Raw genomic sequence first — 23,708 nt, 5'->3', positions numbered from 1 at the left:
GAACAATGCCTCATTTTACATATTATCATTCAGCTAATTTATTGCCAATAAATGACCAAGCATATGCACTGAAAACACACATATACTCTCTCTCACAAACATACACACCGATAAACAACAATGGAATATAAAAACTATAACCACACTAGACTTTTTTTTTTTCTTTTTGAGACGGAGTCTCACTCTGTCACCCAGGCTGGAGTGCGATGGTGCGATCTCAACTCACTGTAACCTCTGCCTCCCGGGTTCAAGAGATTCTCCTGTCTCAGTCTCCCAAGTAGCTGGGGTTACATGCATGTGCCACCATGCCCAGCTAATTTTGTATTTTTAGTAGAGATGCAGTTTCACCATGTTGATGGGACTGGTCTTGAACTCCTGCCCTCAGGTGATCCACCCGCCTTGGCCTCCCAAAGTGCTGGTATTACAGTTGTGAGCCACCATGCCCAGCCCCACACTAGATTTTTGACATAAAAATAGAGGTGCTTCCTTTCAGCATGCCAAAGCTATCACTAAATTCGGCACTTTAGTAGCCACTCTAAAATGCCACAATAACCTAATATGAGAGAACTGTACTTACAGAGATAATTTGTATTAGGCAATGTAACATTAAGTTTGTAACAAGGAATTTGAGTTTGTAATCAGTAGTCCTTAGTGTGAATTAAACACTCAAATGTGTTAAGTCTATTCTGATTAGTAGTATTTAGTAAATTATTGCTCTAGTGCGTTATGAGAAAGGTGACCACATGTCACAATTATCTCTGTTTTACACCTATTATCCTGGCAGAATTATTAACTCTCAATGGTGTCCTGGTATAATAATAAAATACAGGGTCATCCTAATTTTAAGGGACTTCCGTAGTGAGAGTGGGCTTAGAAACCATCAGCTTCAATCTCCTGGATGCCCTTCTGACTGTCCCCAGTTCTTTTGTTATGTTGCATTGCATTTCGTTGGCTACACCAACAAGTCACTTGGATCATGCATTATTTGAGCAGTTCTCAAGAACTCTTAAAGAGGTGTTACATTTGACAGTAACTAATTCATATGTTCCTTGGTCTTATGACCTGATTAATTAGAAATAGTACAAACAGTGCTGACAGATAGATGATTCAACATAACTCATCAACTCAAATTCTCATTCTTACTATCCTTTGGTTTAAAATGAACTCATTCATTTTAGCAAAAGTAATAAATGAGTAATGGCTAGGAATTGGGAAAATATTAATACATGCCAGCATAAGTACTAGTCCTGTGAAAATGTATTCAATCCAGGGATTCCTTGGTTTATTTTTTTTAAAAAACTCTTCCTTGCATAAAACTGTATAGTAAAATGTCTTAAAACAATGTCAGGAGAGAAAAACAGTCCAAAGACTGTTGAGTGAGAGTGAAAGACACCCACTATATTTTAGTTATGCAAAGGACATGACTCAGAGTATAACCTAAATTATAAAATATATGTTTTGCTGTATTTGTGTTTTGGAGTTGCTCTAGTGGTAAAATAAAGACCAAATTTTAAATAAATCATCTTAAGAGATTATGTAGTGTCTTGTAAAAAGAAAGGGCTTGGAGTAGGTTATCTCTGAGTTTGAATGAGTGCTCTATTTACTAACTGCAAGACCTTACCCATATTATTTAGTATCTCTGGGTTTGGTTTTCTTTCACTGTATCATGGTAAAATAGGTAAGTAATTAAAATGCATAACAGGGCTCAGAATACAGTTTGTGTTCAATAGAAGTACCTATTGCTGTTACTATTATTATTACTCAAGTCTCAAATCAAACCACAGGACCTCATATAGAACAAATTTATTTTCAAAGTAGGGGCTATGGTAGGGCTAATTTGTGATTCTCTACCTTAAAACATTAGCAAATAAACCTAAATCCTAAGAAACATTATTTTATTATATACATTTCCTTGGCTCAAGAAAGATCATTAAAGATAATGGCAGAACTTTGTACACTGCCAATATGTATGGTGATTAGGCTTATTTAATAAAAAAGCAATGCTAAATGGCCTTTCAATACTTAATAAACAGGCAATTTCTTTTCTAACATATGCGAAATCAATTTTGATGTGGACATTTTTCTATATATCAAGAGTGGTATGGAAATTTTTTCTAACCACCCAGCTGCTACAATGTTAAATAAATTAATTTTAATCTTAAATCAGAGATGTAATAGAGAAACGGATGATTTAATATGCAATCTCATTACATTTGACAGGCTTATTTATAAATGATTTGCCCCACATTTTGACAAGCATAGTTAATATGTTAATTAGCTTTTTAAAAGATGATGAAAGGAAGAGACTGGCATGCTATCATTCTTCATACACTGTTGGGGTGTTGGGGAGTACTGTAGTTGATACCTCAGGGTAGTGCTACTATATATTTTACCCACCCCCAAAGCACTGTGGTCTTGATGAGATAATCATTTATTTGCTGCAGGTGACTTAGTCACCCTATTTTAAAAATTAACCCTATTTTAAAAATTTATATTCCTCTATAGAGGAATATAAAGCTTATTTGGAACAATGACCTCAACAGCTTGAGCAGAGCTTCCTAGCAAGGGAAGAACTACATAGATAAGCTGCTTGCTACATCTGCACTTCTCTTAATGTGGCTTTCAAAACTTAGTAAGCCTTTTTGGTTTAGAAGCTTAGCAATGATTTCCTATGCCTTGACTTTCACAGAGTTATAAATCCAAAAATTAAGAGAAGTTATACAAAGGAAATGTTCAATTTGATTCCTCTGCTTAAAATTTCCTTTACAGAGGGAGATAAAACAATCAAAAACTATCTATTTTCATAAAAGTATCAAAAACTATCTATCTTGATGAGTTCCCAAATCACACAGGGTTGTTTGTTCATTGCAAGTGTTGGAGACCTGGAGGAGGAAATCGTAACACGGCCAGCTCTGATTTCCATCACTTGCTGACAAATGATAATGCATATGTGTCTTCATTCATTTTTTTATTTCCTGTGGCTATTTAAACAGAAAACTGGAAAATGTAACACTGTATAGGGATCATTAGTTTTTAGTTACTACCTTACTGCCCCATGCTGATAAATGAACTGTAAGAAAGCCTGAAACTACTGCCACCTGCCTCCCTGCTATTCTCCATGGGTTAATATTTGCACTTCTCTTTGCTGCAGCTGAGCCATGACTCAATTATAGTCCCATTTCTAGTTCTCTCAATACCCAGCATCAATGTCATTGATTATGCAAAAATCAGTGCCTGTGAACTTCTAACTGGAAAAACACATTTTATTTGACTTATAGGATAATAACAAGATAGCTTTTAGAAAATGGCTTGAAATCAGATTCAGACAGGCAGGTGTACCATAGATATAACATAGATTTTAAGGCTTGGAAGTGAAGAGCCAGTAAGCATGGGAAGCTGTTCAGACATAACACATTTGCTATTTGGTTCTGGCAATGAATAATCTTGGCACGTAGACAAAAGGGCATTTGGGGTCTACTATTTTCTATCAGTTTTCCTCCTTTCCACTTACTCTTCTTGTGCTTCCATTATGTCTCTGTTCAAAGCAAATTGGCAGAAAGTGTCCAAGCTATCTTCCTTGAGAGAATGAACACACACACACGAGGAAGAAAAAGTGACACACGGGCAAGAAAAAGTAGCACACGCTGGAAATCAAATACTGAGCTACACCTCAGAAACACACATATTATGTCACAGTCCATTTGGTTCTTGGTGCTTTTAAAGGTTTGGGAAAAATTAGCCACTAGTATGTAAAAAATGTTCTGAGGGTAGAATCTTAACTGAACTACCAAGCAACTAAGACAAAAACTGGCTCCAAGCCACAGATGTTTCCAACCAATGTTTTATTAGCAGAGTCCCTAACTGACCTCATTGAAAGACAACCTAGAATTTCCATACTCAAAAAATAGAGAAAAAGCCCCATAACACAAGAATCTTAAGTAATGAATATCTGCAGAGCCAACTATAAGTCAGGAAGTAGGAAAGGGATGAGAAAGTAACTAATATCCTGATGCATTCATTGGCCTTTATTTTCAACTTTTTCTGCCATTACACTAATTATGTAAATATCTATTTTACCCAAATCCCTGTGTTGGGAAAAAAAGATCTAACTGTGTAAACAACCATCCCCCCAAAAAAGCCAGGAAGTGTGACAAAATAGATTAGCTCAGCCCCTTAATGACAGATGATCATCTTTAGTCTCAGTGTTTTAGAATATCATTAAAATGGTATTAGATTTATTACAAGATGTTACAAAATTTATGACAACAGATCTGTATGATTATCTGATTTTCTTGTAGCTCTACTAGAAAGCTTTAGAGCTACACTTCAATAAAAATAAATACGTTCTCATGTACACAAAATGTTGCAGGTATCCTCAGTGGCTTTACAAATCCCTAAATCTCATTCTTAGGGAGGGCTGCTAGAACATAAAAAAATCTGCACTGTGCCCTAGATCATGAGAAACTTGATTGTTTTCTCACCATAACGTTTTTGGATCAAAAACATCAGGAAAGAAGCCAGGCCTCATCACAGGCCAATTTATGAAAAGCCAAGATTACGGGGGGTAGAGCACTGAAGTAAGTAAGTATACAACAGTAAGATAAACAACACATACTGCAGTTTTACTGAGGTCATAAAATTATATGAATACACAGTGGAATTCTACATATGGGGGCATAATCATTCAGGGAAAATGACTCCTATTATAAAACAGCCATGTGCGATGCCTCCAGCTTTGTTCTTTTGGCTTAGGATTGATTTGGCGATGCGGGCTCTTTTATGGTTCCATATGAACTTTAAAGTAGTTTTTTCCAATTCTGTGAAGAAAGTCATTGGTAGCTTGATGGGGATGGCATTGAATCTGTAAATTACCTTGGGCAGTATGGCCATTTTCACGATATTGATTCTTCCTACCCATGAGCATGGAATGTTCTTCCGTTTGTTTGTATCCTCTTTTATTTCCTCAAGCAGTGGTTTGTAGTTCTCCTTGAAGAGGTCCTTCACATCCCTTGTAAGTTGGATTCCTAGGTATTTTATTCTCTTTGAAGCAATTGTGAACGGGAGTTCACTCATGATTTGGCTCTCTGTTTGTCTGTTGTTGGTGTATAAGAATGCTTGTGATTTTTGTACATTGATTTTGTATCCTGAGACTTTGCTGAAGTTGCTTATCAGCTTAAGGAGATTTTGGGCTGAGACAATGGGGTTTTCTAGATATATAATCATGTCGTCTGCAAACAGGGACAATTTGACTTCCTCTTTTCTTAATTGAATACCCTTTATTTCCTTCTCCTGCCTAATTGCCCTGGCCAGAACTTCCAACAATGAGATACCATCTCACACCAGTTAGAATCGCAATCATTAAAAAGTCAGGAAACAACAGGTGCTGGAGAGGATGTGGAGAAATAGGAACACTTTTACACTGTTGGTGGGACTGTAAACTTGTTCAACCATTGTGGAAGTCAGTGTGGCGATTCCTCAGGGATCTAGAACTAGAAATACCATTTGACCCAGCCATCCCATTACTGGGTATATACCCAAAGGACTATAAATCATGCTGCTATAAAGACACATGCACACGTATGTTTATTGCGGCATTATTCACAATAGCAAAGACTTGGAACCAACCCAAATGTCCAACAATGATAGACTGGATTAAGAAAATGTGGCACATATACACCATGGAATACTATGCAGCCATAAGAAATGATGAGTTCATGTCCTTTGTAGGGACATGGATGAAACTGGAAATCATCATTCTCAATAAACTATCACAAGAACAAAAAACCAAATACCACATATTCTCACTCATAGGTGGGAATTGAACAATGAGAACACATGGATGCAGGAAGGGGAACATCACACTCTGGGGACTGTTGTGGGTTGGGGGGAGGGGGGAGGGACAGCATTGGGAGATATACCTAACGCTAGATGAAGAGTTAGTGGGTGCAGCGCACCAGCATGGCACACGTATACATATGTAACTAACCTTCACATTGTGCACATGTACCCTAAAACTTAAAGTATAATAATAATAAATAAATACATAAAAATAAAAAAATAGCCATGTGCTATGTAAATTGTTTTACTTTGGACACAACTGTGAGTCTGAAAAGAAATTATTTTATTAATAAAAGATATGTTCAACAGTCCGTCCTTCATGCCAAAAATTAGATTATTCCCTTATTTGATTGTTTGATTTGGATCACACTTAGTTGGGAACTCAGCATAGTTTATCATTAATGCTAATTATGAATTAAATCTTGACAGTCATTGGACCTCATAAAATAGATTTTTAAGCTTTGCTAAAGCATTTGTGAAAGTGAGACCTAAAATTAAACATATAATATTTTTTAAAAGTAGTCATTTTATTTCATTTTGGATAACTAGTGTCAGAAGTTTTCAAGTACATACTGTGAGTCAAACTGGTGCCTAACAGTTACACCAAAATTTTCAGACCACTCATCAGAGCTTTGTTGCAAATTTAAACATACTCCCTGCTACTCCAATCCTGTTGCCGTCTGGAGATACATACTTCCCTTGTTATAAGATACAGCCACAAATTAAGACTCTTAGGGAGAGAAAAATCATGATACTGACAGTTAGAAAAATGTCTCTGCCCCTGTCCATCAAGAACCATTACCACACAGCATCTGCAAAGGAGACTCTAATTAGAGAACATTCCCAATCATGTTTTAAAACATCCAGCAGCATGGCCACATGCAGGCAAACACTCCTGCACCATTAATCTTCATTCAAACTGTTAGGATGTTTGTCTAGGCTTGACCCAGACCAAGCACTACAGATAGATTAGCTAGAGTAAAGCTTCCATTTCTCACCACATGTCAAGGCAGGTGGAATATTCTGTTGAGCCTAGAAGGACATCTGGAGGTCTGTACCACAAGGTAACCACTTCGTTGGAGTATGTGTGGCTAGGGACGGATTTTGCTCTTGCAAGACCTGTGGGTTATATGAAACATAAAGAAGTTTAACAGGCATTAGCAAAACAAGGGAATTTAAATTTGAACGTTCACATTCTTAAAGGTCAAACCCGACCTTTTAATACAGAATCAGGAGTGCAGTATCAAGGTTAATAGAAAACTGGGGAAAGCATATTGTGGTTTCTGTTTTTAACACATGCTAATAACCATTAAAACATTTCTATTTCCTAATAAAGCACTGATGTCATGAATCTAATAAAATATCAGCAGAGTAAACAAATAATTCACAAACTATCATAACACAGGAGCTTAGAAGTCTCTTGAATTTTTCAGATTTATAAGTATTGTGAGAAAGGGTTCCTTGGTCAAATAACTGAGAAAAAACAGATTTAGAAACTTAAAGAATCCTTAAATTGTGAAACTTCTCAGTTTTCTTAATTGTTCTAATGCGTATTGTGAATCTGCAAGAGGAGAGTATAATACTTTCCCCAAAGAATTGTCCTAAAATTTCTTGTGGTTTCAGTGTTCTGTCAAATACTCACTAGGAAATGCTTATTGCAGAAGCTCTTTTGAAAAAACATCTAAATAAATAACTATAAAGGAATAGTCAAATCTGGTACATACATTGATGAGATTATATATGATAAATTAAAATGTCCTCTAAGAATTTTTTTAAACTGGGAAGATGTTAAGTGAAAAGGTATACGCAATTTGACCTCATAACCATAAATACTCATGCACAGAAAAAATATTTGTAGGTCTGTTTTTTTTTCCCTCTAAAAAAAAAAAAGGGCCGGGCGCGGTGGCTCACGCCTGTAATCCCAGCACTTTGGGAGGCCGAGGCGGGCGGATCACGAGGTCAGGAGATCGAGACCATCCCGGCTAAACCGGTGAAACCCCGTCTCTACTAAAAATACAAAAAAATTAGCCGGGCGTAGTGGCGGGCGCCTGTAGTCCCAGCTACTTGGGAGGCTGAGGCAGGAGAATGGCGTGAACCCGGGAGGCGGAGCTTGCAGTGAGCCGAGATCCCGCCACTGCACTCCAGCCTGGGTGATAGAGCGAGACTCCGTCTCAAAAAAAAAAAAAAAAAAAAAAAAGAAAAAAGTTTGGCAGAAAATACATTTAAATGTCTTCAGTGGTTACCTCTGGAATATGGGATTATCTTTATTTTTTAGTAAGTTTTTCTGAGTGTTTTCCCAAGATTTGTGGAATGAATGTGCAATTATTTTAAAAATCACAAAATCTATAGATGTCATTTTTTAAAAGAAAAAAACCTGTGTGACAGCTTTCTATCTAGCTGTATTCATTAGTGACAAGTATAAAGTATTATTTACTGTTATGTTTATAGCACTTAAAACATTTTTACAGTGAACCTACCATAACATATTCATTTTAATGTTCTATTTAAAAATTTTTATGTAGTAAGGAAATGGCTTTTTCTTATTTATTAAATGTAGCATTCCATTTTCAGTATTATATGTAAATTTTAAAGTTAATAAGACAGCTGGTAAGACAAAGAATTTCTAATTAATTCAGCCATGGTTACAGTGCCCTAATTTTTTTCTACCAGTCAGTTTTAATAATAATGCAATGGTATACTATAAATTGGTTGATATTTACAAGTATTCCATATTAAAATGTACAGATTATACCACACAGACATACTTACACATTCCTGGTCCCCAATTTTTCTCCACATGAATGGAGTAATTATTTTTGATAATAGATTTCTATAACAACCTCTTCCTTCTTTCCTCTGCAAGGTTTTATCCTACATTAATTCAGGCAAAATTGAACAATAGATAGGACAATCAAGATGATAAAGTGTCTCCAGAACTTGGTAACCCCATCAAAAGGGTTGGTTCCTCAAATGCCTATGGTTCCATATGGAGACTAAAGAGCCAGGCACAAGTCCTGAAATAGGTTCTGACTTGTTCCATATGCTGTTGTCAAGTCAAATGGGATGCTACAAACATTCCAGCTTGATTCTCTTGGTTTTCCTGAGGCCCTGTTGTCAGAAAGCTAAGCCAGAAGGATGAGAGAATGAAAAAAAATTGAAGATTTTCATTGACAGCTCAGACCAGGCTAGTTATAAAAAAACTGTGATGTTCCCAGTTGTAAAGGGGAAAATAAGACCTCAAAATAATCTAGAAGTAGTATAAATCAAAATAACCACATGTAATTTCAGATCAACTATGCTCACTCTGAATATGAGTTTGCTAGACTGGTTAAATATTTTTGGAAACTACAAATAGAAAAAAGTGCTTTATCTACATTACTGTCTTTTTTCCCACATGTTTAGGCCAAAGACTACTCCAATTTTATTCAGATGAGCCACATAACTTCCCAAAATAACAGTAAAAATAACTTTCAATATCTAACTTTTCAAAGCTTAAGACTGAGTCTCTTAAAATGGTTTGCATGTAAATGTGTCAGAGTGAAGAATGTTATTATATTTTTAAGATACATTATTCTACATTGCTTGAGAAAAATTCTCTCATCTCATTTGAACACAGTCAATTAAAACAATTTATTGTAGAAAGTGTCCTCTATATTGATGAACAAAAAATTTTTACCCTAAAAATGTCTGTTTGGTTAATAGGATAAGAAAATCCCAAAACTTTTCAGGAAGGGAGAAAATCATTAAAACAATGACTCAAAAAATAAAAATAAAAGAAAGACAAAAAGAAGCAAAGAAAGAGAAAGAAAAGAATGAACAAAAGAGGAGAGAAAGAGACTTTGAAGTATAAATATATATAACTACATTTTTAACAAATATTTTTGGTAAAGATATTGCTATATGTTTATACAGTTCATGCATCAAAACATGCTTACTCATGCAAAATTTATTAAACTGCATTCTTCAGTTGAAAGAAAACTGTAGGACAGGATTAATTAGCACAGCATGTGTGAAAGCTTTCTTTCTCTGTTCTTTGTCAGTTGCTATGGTTACACTACAGGAACAGAGCTACACTACCTTTTAAAAAAGACGCAGTTCATGGATTATTATCAAAACTTCTTATATTAATGTTTAGTTTGATTTAAAAGACAAAAAGCAAAGTGCTAACCAGACAAGTGCAGGTTATATGCACGTTGCTGCTTTGGCTGAGTGTGTGCTCATGAAGGGGTACAATTCCGATGGGCACCTAAAATGGCTTGCATAAAATTCAGTGTATCCAACTTTACAGTGTTGACATTTCTAACTAATGAAAGACCCCAGAGTAAAAGGGATAATCCTGCTATTCAAGCCCTACTGCCAATGATTCAAAGTTGAGCTACCCTGATACTAGCATAGCAGAATCTTGGATTTCTGGAGGAGTTAAGAAGCTTTATAGCTAACCTCTTATCCAATAAAAAAATTCCTCCTCACATCTCTATAAGATGGTTATCTTATAGATAATATCTGCTGCTACCCTGAGCCTGGTTCTACCCTCTGGCATGGACACAGAATAAACCACGGGACAGTGCTCCCGACATTTTCCCTACGCAGACCAGCCATTCAGCACCAAACAATGGAGACTCTTCAGGCCTCATCATAACAGCCTCTGCTGCATTAGACTCTGCTGACCACTCCCTTTCTTCTACATTTTCTCCCTTTATTTCTCAGATATAGGATAGTTAACCAGGAATGACTTGGTCTCCTTCTGGGACCTACCCCTTTTTGCCCCTTAAATGCTGGTTTTGCCTATGGTTATATACACATACGCTCAAACCAGTGCTTTCTCAAATATATACACTTTATAGGTCACTGGGCCTTATTTTGAGTTTTTTAACTGCCATCCATAGATGATTTCTCCCAAGATTTTACCTCCAGCTTATACTTGTCTTTGGGCTTCAGACCTGGTTCTATGTAATTCCTTACTAGGCATAGGTGCTAGATGTCCTACAGGCACTCAATATAACTCCAGCCAGAATTAATACAGAGAATACACCAAAAGAGTCCAGGAGCAAATGCACTTTACTAGTAACTGTTTCAAGTTCCAAAAACAGCCAAGGTTCTTTTCTTTTAGCTGTACACAGATGTAAACTAGAACTTATATTCCATGTACATTTAATTATTCCTTCAAATTCCAGTGCATCCTTTTTTTTGTAGGTGGTAAAATTGGCTAGGGATTTAAGCAATCTCTTTAACTCTATGGAGAAAATTGCTGAACCTAGGATAAGGTTCAGAAATGATCATTCCCATTCCTTTGCTTTGACTAAAGAATTGAGAAGGAAGTGGCAACACTGACTTACTCCTTTCTAACTAAGTGAAATTAATAACAGCAAATCTAGCTGAATTTGCAGAGTCAACAAAAATACGGTATAGAAATAGTATCTTTCATTACTTCAGAGTCATTCCAGAAAATGGGCCAAAGCTTTGTGTTGGTCAGTGGTTTCATATTATATTATAGAGCAACTCCCACAACTCTCTCTCAACACACCTTACTCCCCAAATTAATCAGAAAAAAAAAAGTCTTGCTCTTAGTTAATCACAAAATCAATATTTCTAGGAGAAAGGTTCCTTTATCACTTGACTCCAAACAGACATAAAATGCTTGGATAATATTTTACCATAAGACAGTTACACTGGGAAGGGAAAGACTTGAGGCCTTCTCTATTCCATGAATCAGTCCACGGGGTGAAGGCTTTTGGATTTCATTCCCATTCCACAGCCAAAGACTGGCCAAGAATCTCATTTTTGATATAATTTTTTAATGGAATATTCTCCCTCCTACAGGATTTATACTATATTAAATATCTTATGATGTGGTAACACTGTTTGAAGATACTCTATTGCTGCTTTTATAATGTATCAATAAACAACCAACAAACAAATATTTTCTTATGGTGTTCTAGCCTTTAATCTTTTCTCTCTACTTGACAAGGTTTCCCTGAATGACTCCATTTACTCCCATGGCTTAAGTTACTATCTATATATACTGATGATCCCAAACACATATAGCTAGCATCAATCTTCCCCTAAAGCTTCATGTTTCTAAATCAAAAATGTCCACTTAGATCTTCCATGATAGTCCACAGGTATCTCAATTGAACATTTCTCCTGTCTCCAATTTTCTAACCAGTACTACATCCTCTAGCGTCTCCAGCTGACTGCTACACATCACCATCCATCCATTCACCAAAGCTGGAAGTCTTGTTTTGGTGTAGTCTCTCTGCACTTACAAAATCACAAAACCCAGTGGATTTTACTTTATAATTTTCCCTCTTTTCTTCCTCCTTCTTAGGTCCTCATATCATCTCTTATTGGATTATTACACTAGCAAGTCTGACCATGGCACAATATTATCTTCAAAATATAGACAATAAATGATCTACCTTTATTAAAATTATTTTTATTGTTGGCCAGGCGCAGTGGTTAACACCTGTAATCCCTGCACTTTGGGAAGCCAAGGCAGGTGGGTCACCTGAAGGAGATCAAGACCAGCCTGGCCAACATGGTGAAACCCCGTGTCTATTGAAAATAAAAAATCAGCTGGGTATGGTGGCACGCGCCTGTAATCCCAGGTACTCGAGAGGCTGAGGCACGAGAATCACTTGAACCCAGGAGGCGGAGGTTGCAGTGAGCCGAGATCACGCCTGGGCAACAAAGCGAAACTCCGTCTCAAAAAACAAAAATAAAAACAAAAATTAATTTTATTGTTTAATTGGAACATTCCTCAATGCGAATAACAGTAACAATAACAATAAAAGACTTAAATGCCCAATCTACTCATATAATCACTATGAGATGTGGGTACCCACCAACTCCCTCCCTCTTATTTGACTTAATAGGAAGTGTATCCTTTCCAGAAAATTGGGCGCCCTGAGGACAGGTCTATGTTTTTTGTTTGTTTGTTTTTTAAATACATTTGCCATCCTATGGTGTTGTTTAAGGTGGAAAAGTAGTTTCAAGATTACAATTAAAATATCCTTTTCTTTCCTTTGTATGTAACATCTTTGTTTTGGTTTCTGTCCAGACTTTCAACAGTGCTACTTTTTATAAGAAACCAAAATCCCTTAAAAATGTTTAGATTCATTCAGTAGTCTTTCTACTGAATAAGGGTATTCTTTGAACATAAATAAAAAGGAATTAAGTCCAGAAGACACTGAAACATGTTAAGGTAATATTTGATTTTATTTAATTATCCCTGAATTTTTTAAGTTCAATAAATTATGCCTAATTTATATATATCCTAAACGGCACAGATTTTTTAAAAAATATATTTCATTTGGCCGGGCGCAGTGGCTCATGCCTGTAATCCCAGCACTTTAGGAGGCCATGGCAGGTGGATCACCTGAGGTTAGGAGGTCAAGACCAGCCTGGCCAACATGATGAAACCCCATCTCTACTAAAAATACAAAAAATTGGCCAAGTGTGGTGGCGGGCGCCTGTAAACCCAGCTACTCAGGAAGCGGAGACAGAGAATCACTTAAACCCCGGAGGTGCAGTTGCAGTGAGCCGAGATCGCATCACTGCTCCAGCCTGGACAACAATAGTGAAACTCCATCTAAACAAAACAAAACAAAACAAAACAAACAAATAAAAAAACTATACACACACACACATATATATAATTTTTAAATAACAGAAATAATATTTTAATATAAGCATTCCAAAGAAGACAGAAAATATTCAAATAATTAACTTTCATATACAGTATAGGAATTACATTTTTTTCTGTTTTTTCTCTTTTTGCATAGAAAATAAAAACAATATGGTTTTCTGGGAAATAACAACTTTAAGTGAAATTAATAGATGTGGAAAACCAACTAGTTAGAATTCTTTGGCTAAATACTATAATGATAAACATGCTGTTGTTCTTAGAGCATTAGCATGCATATTGGAAGACTTGTCATATGGCAAAACTAAATGCCTGGTAGAGGTTCTGGCACTATCTAGGTTTGTTATTTTGTTATTTCTCCTTGATTAAGTGACTTAAGCTTTCTAGTGTTGGTTTCACTATGTGTATGATGAGGGGCCTGAGATCTGGGGTCAGCAAACTATGGCCTGAGAGCCAGGCATTTGTCTTTGTAATTAAATTTTGGTGGAAAACAGCTACATCCATTCACTCACATATTGCCTATAGATGCTTATGCACTAAACAGCTGAGCTGAATAGTTGACAGAGACCATCTGACCCATAGGCTATGATATTTAGTACCTGGCCCTGTAAGAAAAAGTTTGCTGACTCCTGGGACAGACTAGGTTAACTTTAAGTACTAATTCATTCAAGTACTAATGCTCAGTGATTCTAAGAAAATAATTTTCACTAAAATCTTCTTTAGTCAATGTATGAATATCATATATGCTTAAATTCTTAAGCAGCCCCTTAAATAATTCCACCTCAACAATCCCATATCACATCTGCATTAGCAGAGAATGCAAAATCATTTTCAATAGAGTATATGTGAATATATCATCATTTTCACAGTTCACTGGTTTACATCTCATTTTCTAGTTTCTGCTTCTCAGTTAATGAAACTTGTGGTTATTATTCCAATGCTAGATGACAACATAATATAAAAAATGAATTTCAAAACCTGACTAAATCAGCAATTTTGATGAATTTCCATAATGATGCTGATTTATTACCAATTTTCAAAAATTAAAGTTAAAACCCATTAATTCATCATAAGAATCTGTTTTAAGTCAAGGCATAATATTCAGAACTTTTAAGGCATTTGTTTGTAAACATGAATTAATATATACTCAAAACATTATACAAGTATGTATCTATATGTGTTAAAGAGAAAATATTTATTGAAATAATTACAACCATAATTATGTCAAGTAAGGTAAGACTAACTGTGATTTATGTCAGAGAAATACTTTGCATTTGATAGGAAAGAAGTCAATCTATAAATATAAAATTTATTATACATACATATTTAAAATGACAACATATGCTCTTGTTAGTGTGTTAATTTCTTTAGTTTTTAAAAGAAAAAATTAGTATGAGTGTTTGTATGGGAGGCTTATGAGAAAACTCTTCCCATTTCCTTCCTAAACCACCTAGAGTTCTTTTTCTTTCTTTCTTTCTTTTTTAAGTAGTAGGAGGAGGCAATATCCTTACCTGGTCTTATTGTAGATAATACAAAATCATGAAAATCAGTGGATGTACAGTGCTCATTACACAGAGGCAAAGCACAAGATAATTTATTGAGCAGTTATAATCTGTTAGGTACTCTAATGGTTTTAAATGTATTATATCATTTAATGGTTACACAACTTAGAGTGTCGTAAGATTATTCGTATCCCAATATAACAGAAAGAAAACTAATGCCTAGAGAAACTAATTTACCCCAGGTCATACTGTAGTAAGTGGCTGGGAAAATGCAGGTAGTGCTATCACCTCCCCAAGAAGACTGGGAACTTGGGAACAGGTTGCCTGGCAAGTGTGGGGCTCACATTGGATGGTAGCCTAGACCAGCAGATCCAAAGTCCAGAATGGTGACCAGCTAGCCTGGTGAGGGAGACTGAAAGGGATAAGGTTGTGGGATGGATGGCAGCGAAGACAGGAATGGGAAGTGAACTGAAAACACAGGCTGGTTGTTCTGGAAAAAGGTTCCAAAAACACGAGTACATTAGAGAGAATGACTGACGCTGTCTAGAGAGCCTCCAGATAATCAGACAAAAAGCCTGTGAAGAAAAGAGAAAATCGTTAAGGAAATACTGCAGGGAAAAGCTCAGGAAACTTCAAGCTAGGGTCTGGTTGCTGAAATGAGAACAACTCTTATCTGCGTTGTCTGTTGGTTTGTTTTGTTTTAAAATGGAAAGGGTGGAAGGCAGTAGACACATAAATGGAGCAGTAAGCTAGAAGGCTGTGATGGCTTGCAGGGTAACAGCGGGAAATGGAAACTGCTGGGAGACGGGGACCGTGAAAAGGGAATGGCCTATTTATCTTACAGGATCCTAAGGACAGTTTTTTGTTTGTTTGTTTTTTGTTTTTTGTTTTCAGAAACCTCAAACTGGGGTGTGGTCAAAGCCAATCTAAAGGGCATGTAATAAATAACACTGAAATAAAAGGCTCTTCTGAAATGCCCGGACTGAAGTGAATTTTTAAAACATTCCATGAGATAAAAATAGGCAACTACTTTCAAACATGAACTAAGAGGTTTTTATGTTTCTTCAATAATAAATGCCCTTATGAATCAGTGCAAATTAATGAGGCGATTATTGAGCAAATTCAAGAAAAAAAAGCTTTGGGTCATATTGAATTATTGTAATACTTTTACATTTTATGGTTGCTGCCCAGGTTTTCTGAATTATTTTCACCATGCTTTTAGTATTTTCTTTTCTTTCATCATTCTATTTGAGGAGAGGCCTATTAAAAGATATGCACATCTTTATTTTGATAATTTTAAAGCTACTTTGTGACACCTGGTGACAATCTTGGTTGTCTTGAAATTGGAGTTGGGCATTGCTAATGTAGTAAATAAATGTCACAACTTTGAATCTCCAAAAGAAGCATTTAGGGAATATTTTCAAAAATACATTAATTCCATGAAATAAATACATACCACAATCACTACAGAGAAGAATCATCACAGAGCTTTCATTCAGGCAAGGATCTAAGACAGTCTGTATCTTCTATAATATTCTTATTTATTTTTAAACAGAAAATAAACTGAGGCCCAAAGTTCTGTTCATTCTGCCTCCACTCCACTGTTTCTAATCCATTCCCTTCTTTTTCCCCACTGCTGCTGCCACATCAAGCCCTCAGACTTAAACACTTCTGGGTCTTGAGCCTATTAACTGGTCTCCTAGCTGCAAAGTTTGCCCTTCCTACTCCTCTTCCATATTCTGATGAAGAGACAGTTTGATGTAGTATGTAAGAGCTTCCTCTTTGGGGTCAGCTATGACTGCCACTTACAAGATGTGTGATTTGGGGCTAAGCTTCAGTGGCTTTGTCTGTGAAATACATGTAGTAAAACTCTGCTAGATATTCTGAATTTGCCTCTTCTGATGCATTCTTGACTCTCCTTCACCCTGTTCTTTGCTCCCCACAGGCTGTCCTTAATGAGCGTGTAATTACAAAGTCCTTGTCCCCTGGCCTCAAGTTGGGTTTGGCCAATGGGCAGCAAACTGACCAAATGATCATAAGGAAGGAGAAAAGTGAGCTCAGTATATTTGTTCTCCTGGCTTCTTCCCAGCTGGACAAGGAAATGGTATTGCCTAAGTTATTCCTTAGAAGGCTACAGCTCTTGCTCAGGCAGTTCCAGAACCAATTTCTCTAAATTCTCCCCGGAGGAGTAGTGAAATTTTCCACACTATTGCTAGCCTGAAAGGGTTCCACATACTTAACCCTGCCCAGAGTTTCATAAACAGTCCCTTCATCGAACACCCCTCAATTGCCCCATTTGTGTTGCCCTTTGTTTCCTTCTAGAATCCTGATACAATAGCCACATCTAACTCGAAAGGTATTTGTGCGAATTAGATGAGATAATGCATGAAAAATGCTTAATCATACAGTTGGCCTAGAGTAACACTTAATTCATACTGGCTATTACCATAAACTAAAACACCATCTGATTAAACCAGTTCTCTGCTAAAAATCTTAATAGATCCTCTGGGCTTTACCCTGAAGTCCAAATTCCAAGGAATAAAAGAACATGTGACTACCTTGTTTCTTCCCATCCCTTTCTATGTTCTAGCCAACTGTTAGCAGCCAATCAAATTACCAGTAATTATTTTTTTCTTATGTCAGTTCATTGGCACAACATGGTCTCATATCCTGTAATTATTAATACTTATTCAGCAGATGACTCCTACATATCCTTCAAAATTATGCTCAGGGCCAAGGCCTCCAGAAGCTTCCCTGACTTGCCCTCCCCTTCCTGGTCCAGGTAATGAACGTTCCTCTGTTCTCTGATTTACCTCAGCACTGCACTTAACAGATAAACACAGCAAAGTCTTTCATTTACATGACAGCTGCCACCTGCCCCACACAGGTGGGGCAGACCAATTTTCCCAAAATAAGGCCACATGTTTTTCCTTTTTTGAGAAAGGATCTTACTCTGTCACCCAGGCTGGAGTGCTGTGGCACAATCACAGCTCACTGCAGCCTCACACTCCTGGGCTCAAGAGGTCCTCTCAGCTCAGCCTCCAAGTAGCTAGGGCTACAGGCGTGCATCACTATGTCTGGCTAATTTTTAAATTTTTTGTAGAGACAGAATCTTGCCATGTTGCACAGGTTGGTCTCAAACTCCTGGGCTCAAGTGGTCCTCCCGCCTCAGCTTCCCAAAGTGCTGAGATTACAGGCGTGGGGCACTGCACCTGGCCATGGCCACATTTCACCTGCCTTTGTATCTCCAGTTCCTGGCATGACGTCTGGCCTGCAGTAAGTCTACTGATAAACTGACATATCTGGCAAGGACAACCACCTAGTATGAACCTCTGAAGCAGAGGTTCCTTTGGCAGATCGCACTTGTGTGTCATCCCAGCCTACAGGGATGGACCTGTCTTAGTCCATTTTTTTGTTGCTATCAAAGAATACTTGAAAGTGAGTCATTTATAAAGAAAAAAAGTTTACTTTGGCTGATGGTTATGGAGGCTTGGAAGTCCAAAATCAGGCAGCTGCATCTGATTGGCATCTGGATAGACTTTGGTATTGTGTCATCATGTTGTAGAGAAGTGGAAGGATGAAGTGTGCACGTACAAAAGGGCAAAACATGATGGGCAACCTCAGTTTATAACAATCCACTCTCATGGTAACTATTCCAGTTCCCTGAGAGCAAGAACTCACTCACTCCTGTGAGGATTAACCCAGTCCTGCAAGAGCAGCATTAATTCCTCTTAACAACCTAATCACCCCTTAAAGGTCCCACCTCCCAACACTGCCACACTAGGGACCAAATTTCCAAAACATATTCTGGGGGAAACACTCAAACTGTAGCAGGACCCACCCCAACTCATCCAGAACATCTCTGTTTTCACCTTGAGACTTCAATAGAAAACCTATCCTTGGATTTCAAAACGTTAAAGAACTTAATATGAGTAAAGTTGAATCACGTTAAAGCTCAAGATCCCCTTTAGGGGGTAAGAAGTAACCCCAAAACAGACATAAAATACTTTAATATGTTTATGATGCACACGAATATTGTAAATAAAAATACAAGTCTATTAATAAGGCTATTAATATTCTTATTTATACCATAAGGCTATTAATATACAAGCTACCAGCCCTTAAATACAAGTAAGGGAGCCACTTTCCTGACTAATCAATTTTTCTCAAATTTTATCTAATATGATATTTAAATTTTAGATAAATAAAACCTCAAGAATTAATTTCTCCTCTAAACTTTTATATTACATCTCAATCTCTATTCAGCTCACTTGGCAGACAGTATATAAATCTGTTATTATTTATATTTTTATCTCTGTTTACCTCTCTAGCTATACAAAATATACTCCCTAAGAGCAAGGATCATTTCTTATGATTGTCTCAATTTTTTACCACCACTCCCCACCTCTTCTCCATCTCTACGTAACACTGGGTCTTATGTAAAATGTACAATTTAGACAAGACTAAGTCTCTGTAAAACACACTTGGAAAGGGGATTAATTCTTCCTTTGCTTACTAGGATTCCAGGCTATGAATTATTATACGTAGATGTGTTAAGCCAGCTTAGAGCTCAACCACAGAAATATCAGGCTTCTCTGATTCAGCACGACACTTTAGCTGCCTCTCAACGAGTTAACTTGAGCCATAGAAATAGGTATGTCCAGACTCGACAGTTTTTTTTAAAAAAAAACCTTGACAGGCAGAAGTATAAAAATACTCATTTCAAAGCTTCCAGCTGTTCAGCTTTACTGAAGGAAGAGACCTGAATTTACATTTGAGGCTGTTTCTTTATTCTTGGAAAAATCAACTTAACGGCAAATTCTGTTATATAAATATAAAGCAAGTCCCTACCCACTGTTCTGGGGCAAGCAGTGAAATTAACCTGCATCTTGATGTTTCAAAAAGAAGAAAGTGTTTCATGTAAGCCGGGTGCATGTTTTAGCAGAGCCATGTTTCTGAGGCTCTGTGGCTTCTTTGAGGAAGATGTTTACTGACTCAGGGAACATAGAGACTGCACAATGAAGGTTCCCCCTATTCTTGATCAGCAGTTTTCAGGAACTCAGAGAACTGAAGAAAGGGTGTGTGCTGAAAGCTATTCATCCTCCAAAGAAATGGACCAATAAAGCCCAACTTGCAGTAACATTTAAGTCTAAATCTCACAAGGATTACTGATGTGGGACTGTTGGTTGTGATCAGATCCTTAACCCCTGAAGCCAAAAGTCATTTCTCCTTATTGTGAAATTTCTCAACCCATTTCTTCTTCTTGTGAAATTTCTCAAGATTCAACTGTGCCTCTGATTTCTCACCCAGAGCTCTGTCTTGTATAAACGTTATGTGCTGGAAGGTGGACTCCAAGATCTAAGATGAGACTTCCCAGGCACCTTAGATTCTCACAGGGAGAGAATATTCCTTCCCAAGCCTTGGGGTTGTAGGGCCTGAATTCCAGGTAGCAAGCCTAGGGTGTAATCACTAGGGAAACAGAGAATCCGGCCCTAGTCAGAGAGAGATGCACAGGAAATAAAGATAAGGGATCCCTTTCCCCCACACTGAGACTGATCCTCTAAGCTCCGAGCAGAGCACTTTGAAGAGAAGTGGGTGATACCTCTGCTCTGCCCTGCCCATCCCCAAATGTCCAGCCTTCATAAAATCTTGTTGGAAATAACAGCCAGATATCAGCTGCATTGTAGCCGACTAAGAAAAGGGTCAGCTTTGCCCTTGGGCAGATGGCAAAGGAAGCCAGAATAGCCACTGCAGTGGAAGACACCAGGGAGGAGCCAGGATGTGCCCTAAGGGTCAACATTACAGGCACTTGTATGGTGGCATGAAAAGGAATAGCAAGGTACAAGAACATGAGGCACCTGCTTCAGACACAACAGAACAACACCTGATGCACTGGTGCAAACTCGCAGGGCCCATGCTGGGTGCAGTGGCATGCACCTGTATTCTCAGCTACCTGGGAGGCTAAGGCAGGAAGACTGCTGGCCCCCAAGAGTTTGAGTCCAGCCTGGGCAACATAGCAAGATGTCATGTCTACAAAAAATTAAAAAAAAAAAATAGCTGGGTTTGGCAGTATGCACCTGTAGTTCCAGCTACTCAAGTGGCAGGAGGATCACTTGAACCCAGGAATATAAGGCTGCAGTGAGCTATGATTGCACCACCGCTCTTTACCCTGTCTTGCTCTCCTGCAGGACCCTGTCTCTAAAAACAGACAGACAAACAAACTAAACAAATAACCAGGGCCCATGTTGAGGAGCCCCAATGTCCTGGAAAGAGACCAAGCCATAAAGAAATCTAGGGGAAGTGATTCAGGCAGTGGGTACAGCAGATGCTCACGTTTTGAGACAGGGTGGGCCTGGCATGTCACAGGTATGGTGAGGAGGTCCATGTGATAGAATGCAGTATGTCCTTCATGCACTTTGGTGCATCCATGCTTCCAGGCACCCTCCCCACATGCCCTTCTCTGCCACTTCCCATATCTAATTCTAATCTCAACCCATCCTCTAATTTCTCCTTGATTACTGAAGTTACAAGTTATTTTTCCCTGTTGTGGACTTCCTCAAGATTCAATGGCACCTCTGATTTGTCACCCAGCACTTTGTCTTGAAGCATAACCATCACATGAAAGTGGCCCTAACCTATTTAAGGCAGAGGCCATGTCTGATTGTTGAAAGCCCCCAGGATCAATACATGAGTAATGTGTTCATTGAGTTAACTGGTTGAACTGAACTTGGAAGCCATTGGTTATTTTTCAGAAGTTTCAGAGTGACCAGTGGCAACTTTATTCTAGGTGTTTATCATATATATACATAGATAGATTTATATAAATACATATATCTATATTGATATAAATACAGATATAGATAGATATACACTTTTTTTTTTTGAGACAAGGTCTGGTTCTGTCACCCAGACTGGAGGGCAGTGGCACAATCACAGCTCACTGCAGCCTCAACCTCCCGGGCTCAAGCGACCTTCCCACCTCAGCCTCCTAAGTAGCTGGGACTACAGGCACATGCTACCACACCTGGCTGATTTTTATATTTTTTGTAGGGACAGAGTTTTGCCATGTTGTCCAGGCTAGTCTAGAATTCCTGGACTCAAGTGATCCACCTGCCTCAGCCTCCCAAAGTGCTGGGAGTACAGGTATGAGCCACTGCACCCAGCCTTATTGTATATTTATACATACAAAGACTTACGGGCATGGAGATTCATTGTGACATTGTTTGTAGCAAATGACTAAAAATAACTTCAAACTCCAGGAAAGAACTGGAATTACAGTACAGATACAAAATGCAGCCAATAAGGCCAATAAATCGCTATGTACTAATATGGAACCAACTATAATATATTGTTAATGGAAAAGACAAAATAAATAACAGGGGGCATATTAGGTATTATTTATGTAAAAAATGTGTGATTCTATTTGCATATTGGATCTCTGGAAAGATGCATAAGAAAACTGGTAAAGGCAACTGCCTGTGGGGAAAGGAACAAGAAAACAGGAGAGAAGAAAATTTAACTTTCACTATACTCCCATTTTGTACTCTTTGCAATGTCTATTACAGGGTGCACATGTTACCTACAGAAAAAAAAGAGAGAAAGAAAAAGGGTCTAATAAGTCCTCACACAGCCCTGGGCAGTCTCAGCTCCCTACATCCCCCCGACTCCAGCCTTATTTCACTACGGTTTGGTTCTAAAATAGTCATCGGTTGTAAATGACAGGCTTTCATGGCATGGCAGGAAAACTGGTGGCTGGCAGGAGTGAGTTAAAGACTGGGTGGAACAAGCAGAAATAAACTACTATTTAAATATTCTCACTAGTACAACCAAGTTGCCTTCCAAAGCTCAGGCTTGTCTGCATAATAGCTCATTTAGCTACTAAAACCTGGGATAGGCTTGCATGCACAATCTGAATCATCAAACAATTTAGAAGTTAAAAACTAAAATCTTCCTTGAAGGGAAACTTGCTTGCAGAATAAATCCTGTAATAGATTTCTACAAGATGATGAAAGTTTCAAAACTGGCCAAGCATCTAGGACTTTTAAAACAAAATTATATAATTCATAAAATGAATGCAATGAATGTTGCATTTCTACATCCAAGAAGACTGTACTAATAACCAATACAAATGAATGCAAGAATACAGTTGGACAGATTTTGATAAGTTTGAACTTACTGTCCGCAACCCGACAATCTATGTATCCTCACTTGTCAGTAAACTTTACACATGCTGTATTTTTTAGGACCAAGAGTGTTCACAGAAGACTGCCATAAAGAGCTGGCAGCAATGAAACTCAAACTTATCTTGTGCTATACTAGACAAATGTCTTAGCCTTTAAGAATTACAGTAAGAAATCTTACATCTGAAGCACATGTCCTAGTTTTTCAGAATCTGTTATGTATACTTTAAATATTCCCATCTTGTCAGTCCAAATAACTTGTCCTTAATACCTTTATCTTCTCCAATAAAGCTTTATTTGAAATCTTACACTACGGCTGAAGATACTTGAAATTTAGAAATCCTCTTCAAAACAAATTTGAGTTACAGAATCATAAAGTGCTATTTCGCTATCCACTCTTGTATTGATATTCCTGTTTCCCTCATTAAATATTTTGTTAAAGGAGCAAAAAGGGGAAACCATATTTGAAATATAAGTATAGAAGTAAAATTTAGTACATGTGGACTGATTAATCTTGGAAATTATGACTATATGTTAAAATGC

The 23,708-nt window shown here is 37.5% G+C and overlaps 1 protein-coding gene across 4 annotated transcripts in view; it reads right to left on the bottom strand.

Moving 5' to 3' along the window:
* The window catches only part of CDK14 (cyclin dependent kinase 14), a 614,270-nt gene that overhangs the window by 247,937 nt on the left and 342,625 nt on the right, over nt 1–23,708 (bottom strand). For all 4 annotated transcript variants that reach the window (NM_001287135.2, NM_012395.3, NM_001287136.1 and 1 more), the window contains one exon: nt 6,837–6,957. In NM_001287135.2, the coding sequence (NP_001274064.1) occupies nt 6,837–6,957 (121 nt within the window). The remainder of the gene's footprint in view (nt 1–6,836; nt 6,958–23,708) is intronic.

Source organism: Homo sapiens, chromosome 7 (genome assembly GCF_000001405.40).
Source record: "Homo sapiens chromosome 7, GRCh38.p14 Primary Assembly".
Taxonomy (NCBI): domain Eukaryota; kingdom Metazoa; phylum Chordata; class Mammalia; order Primates; family Hominidae; genus Homo; species Homo sapiens.
This window is presented reverse-complemented; position numbering and strand designations above follow the sequence as displayed.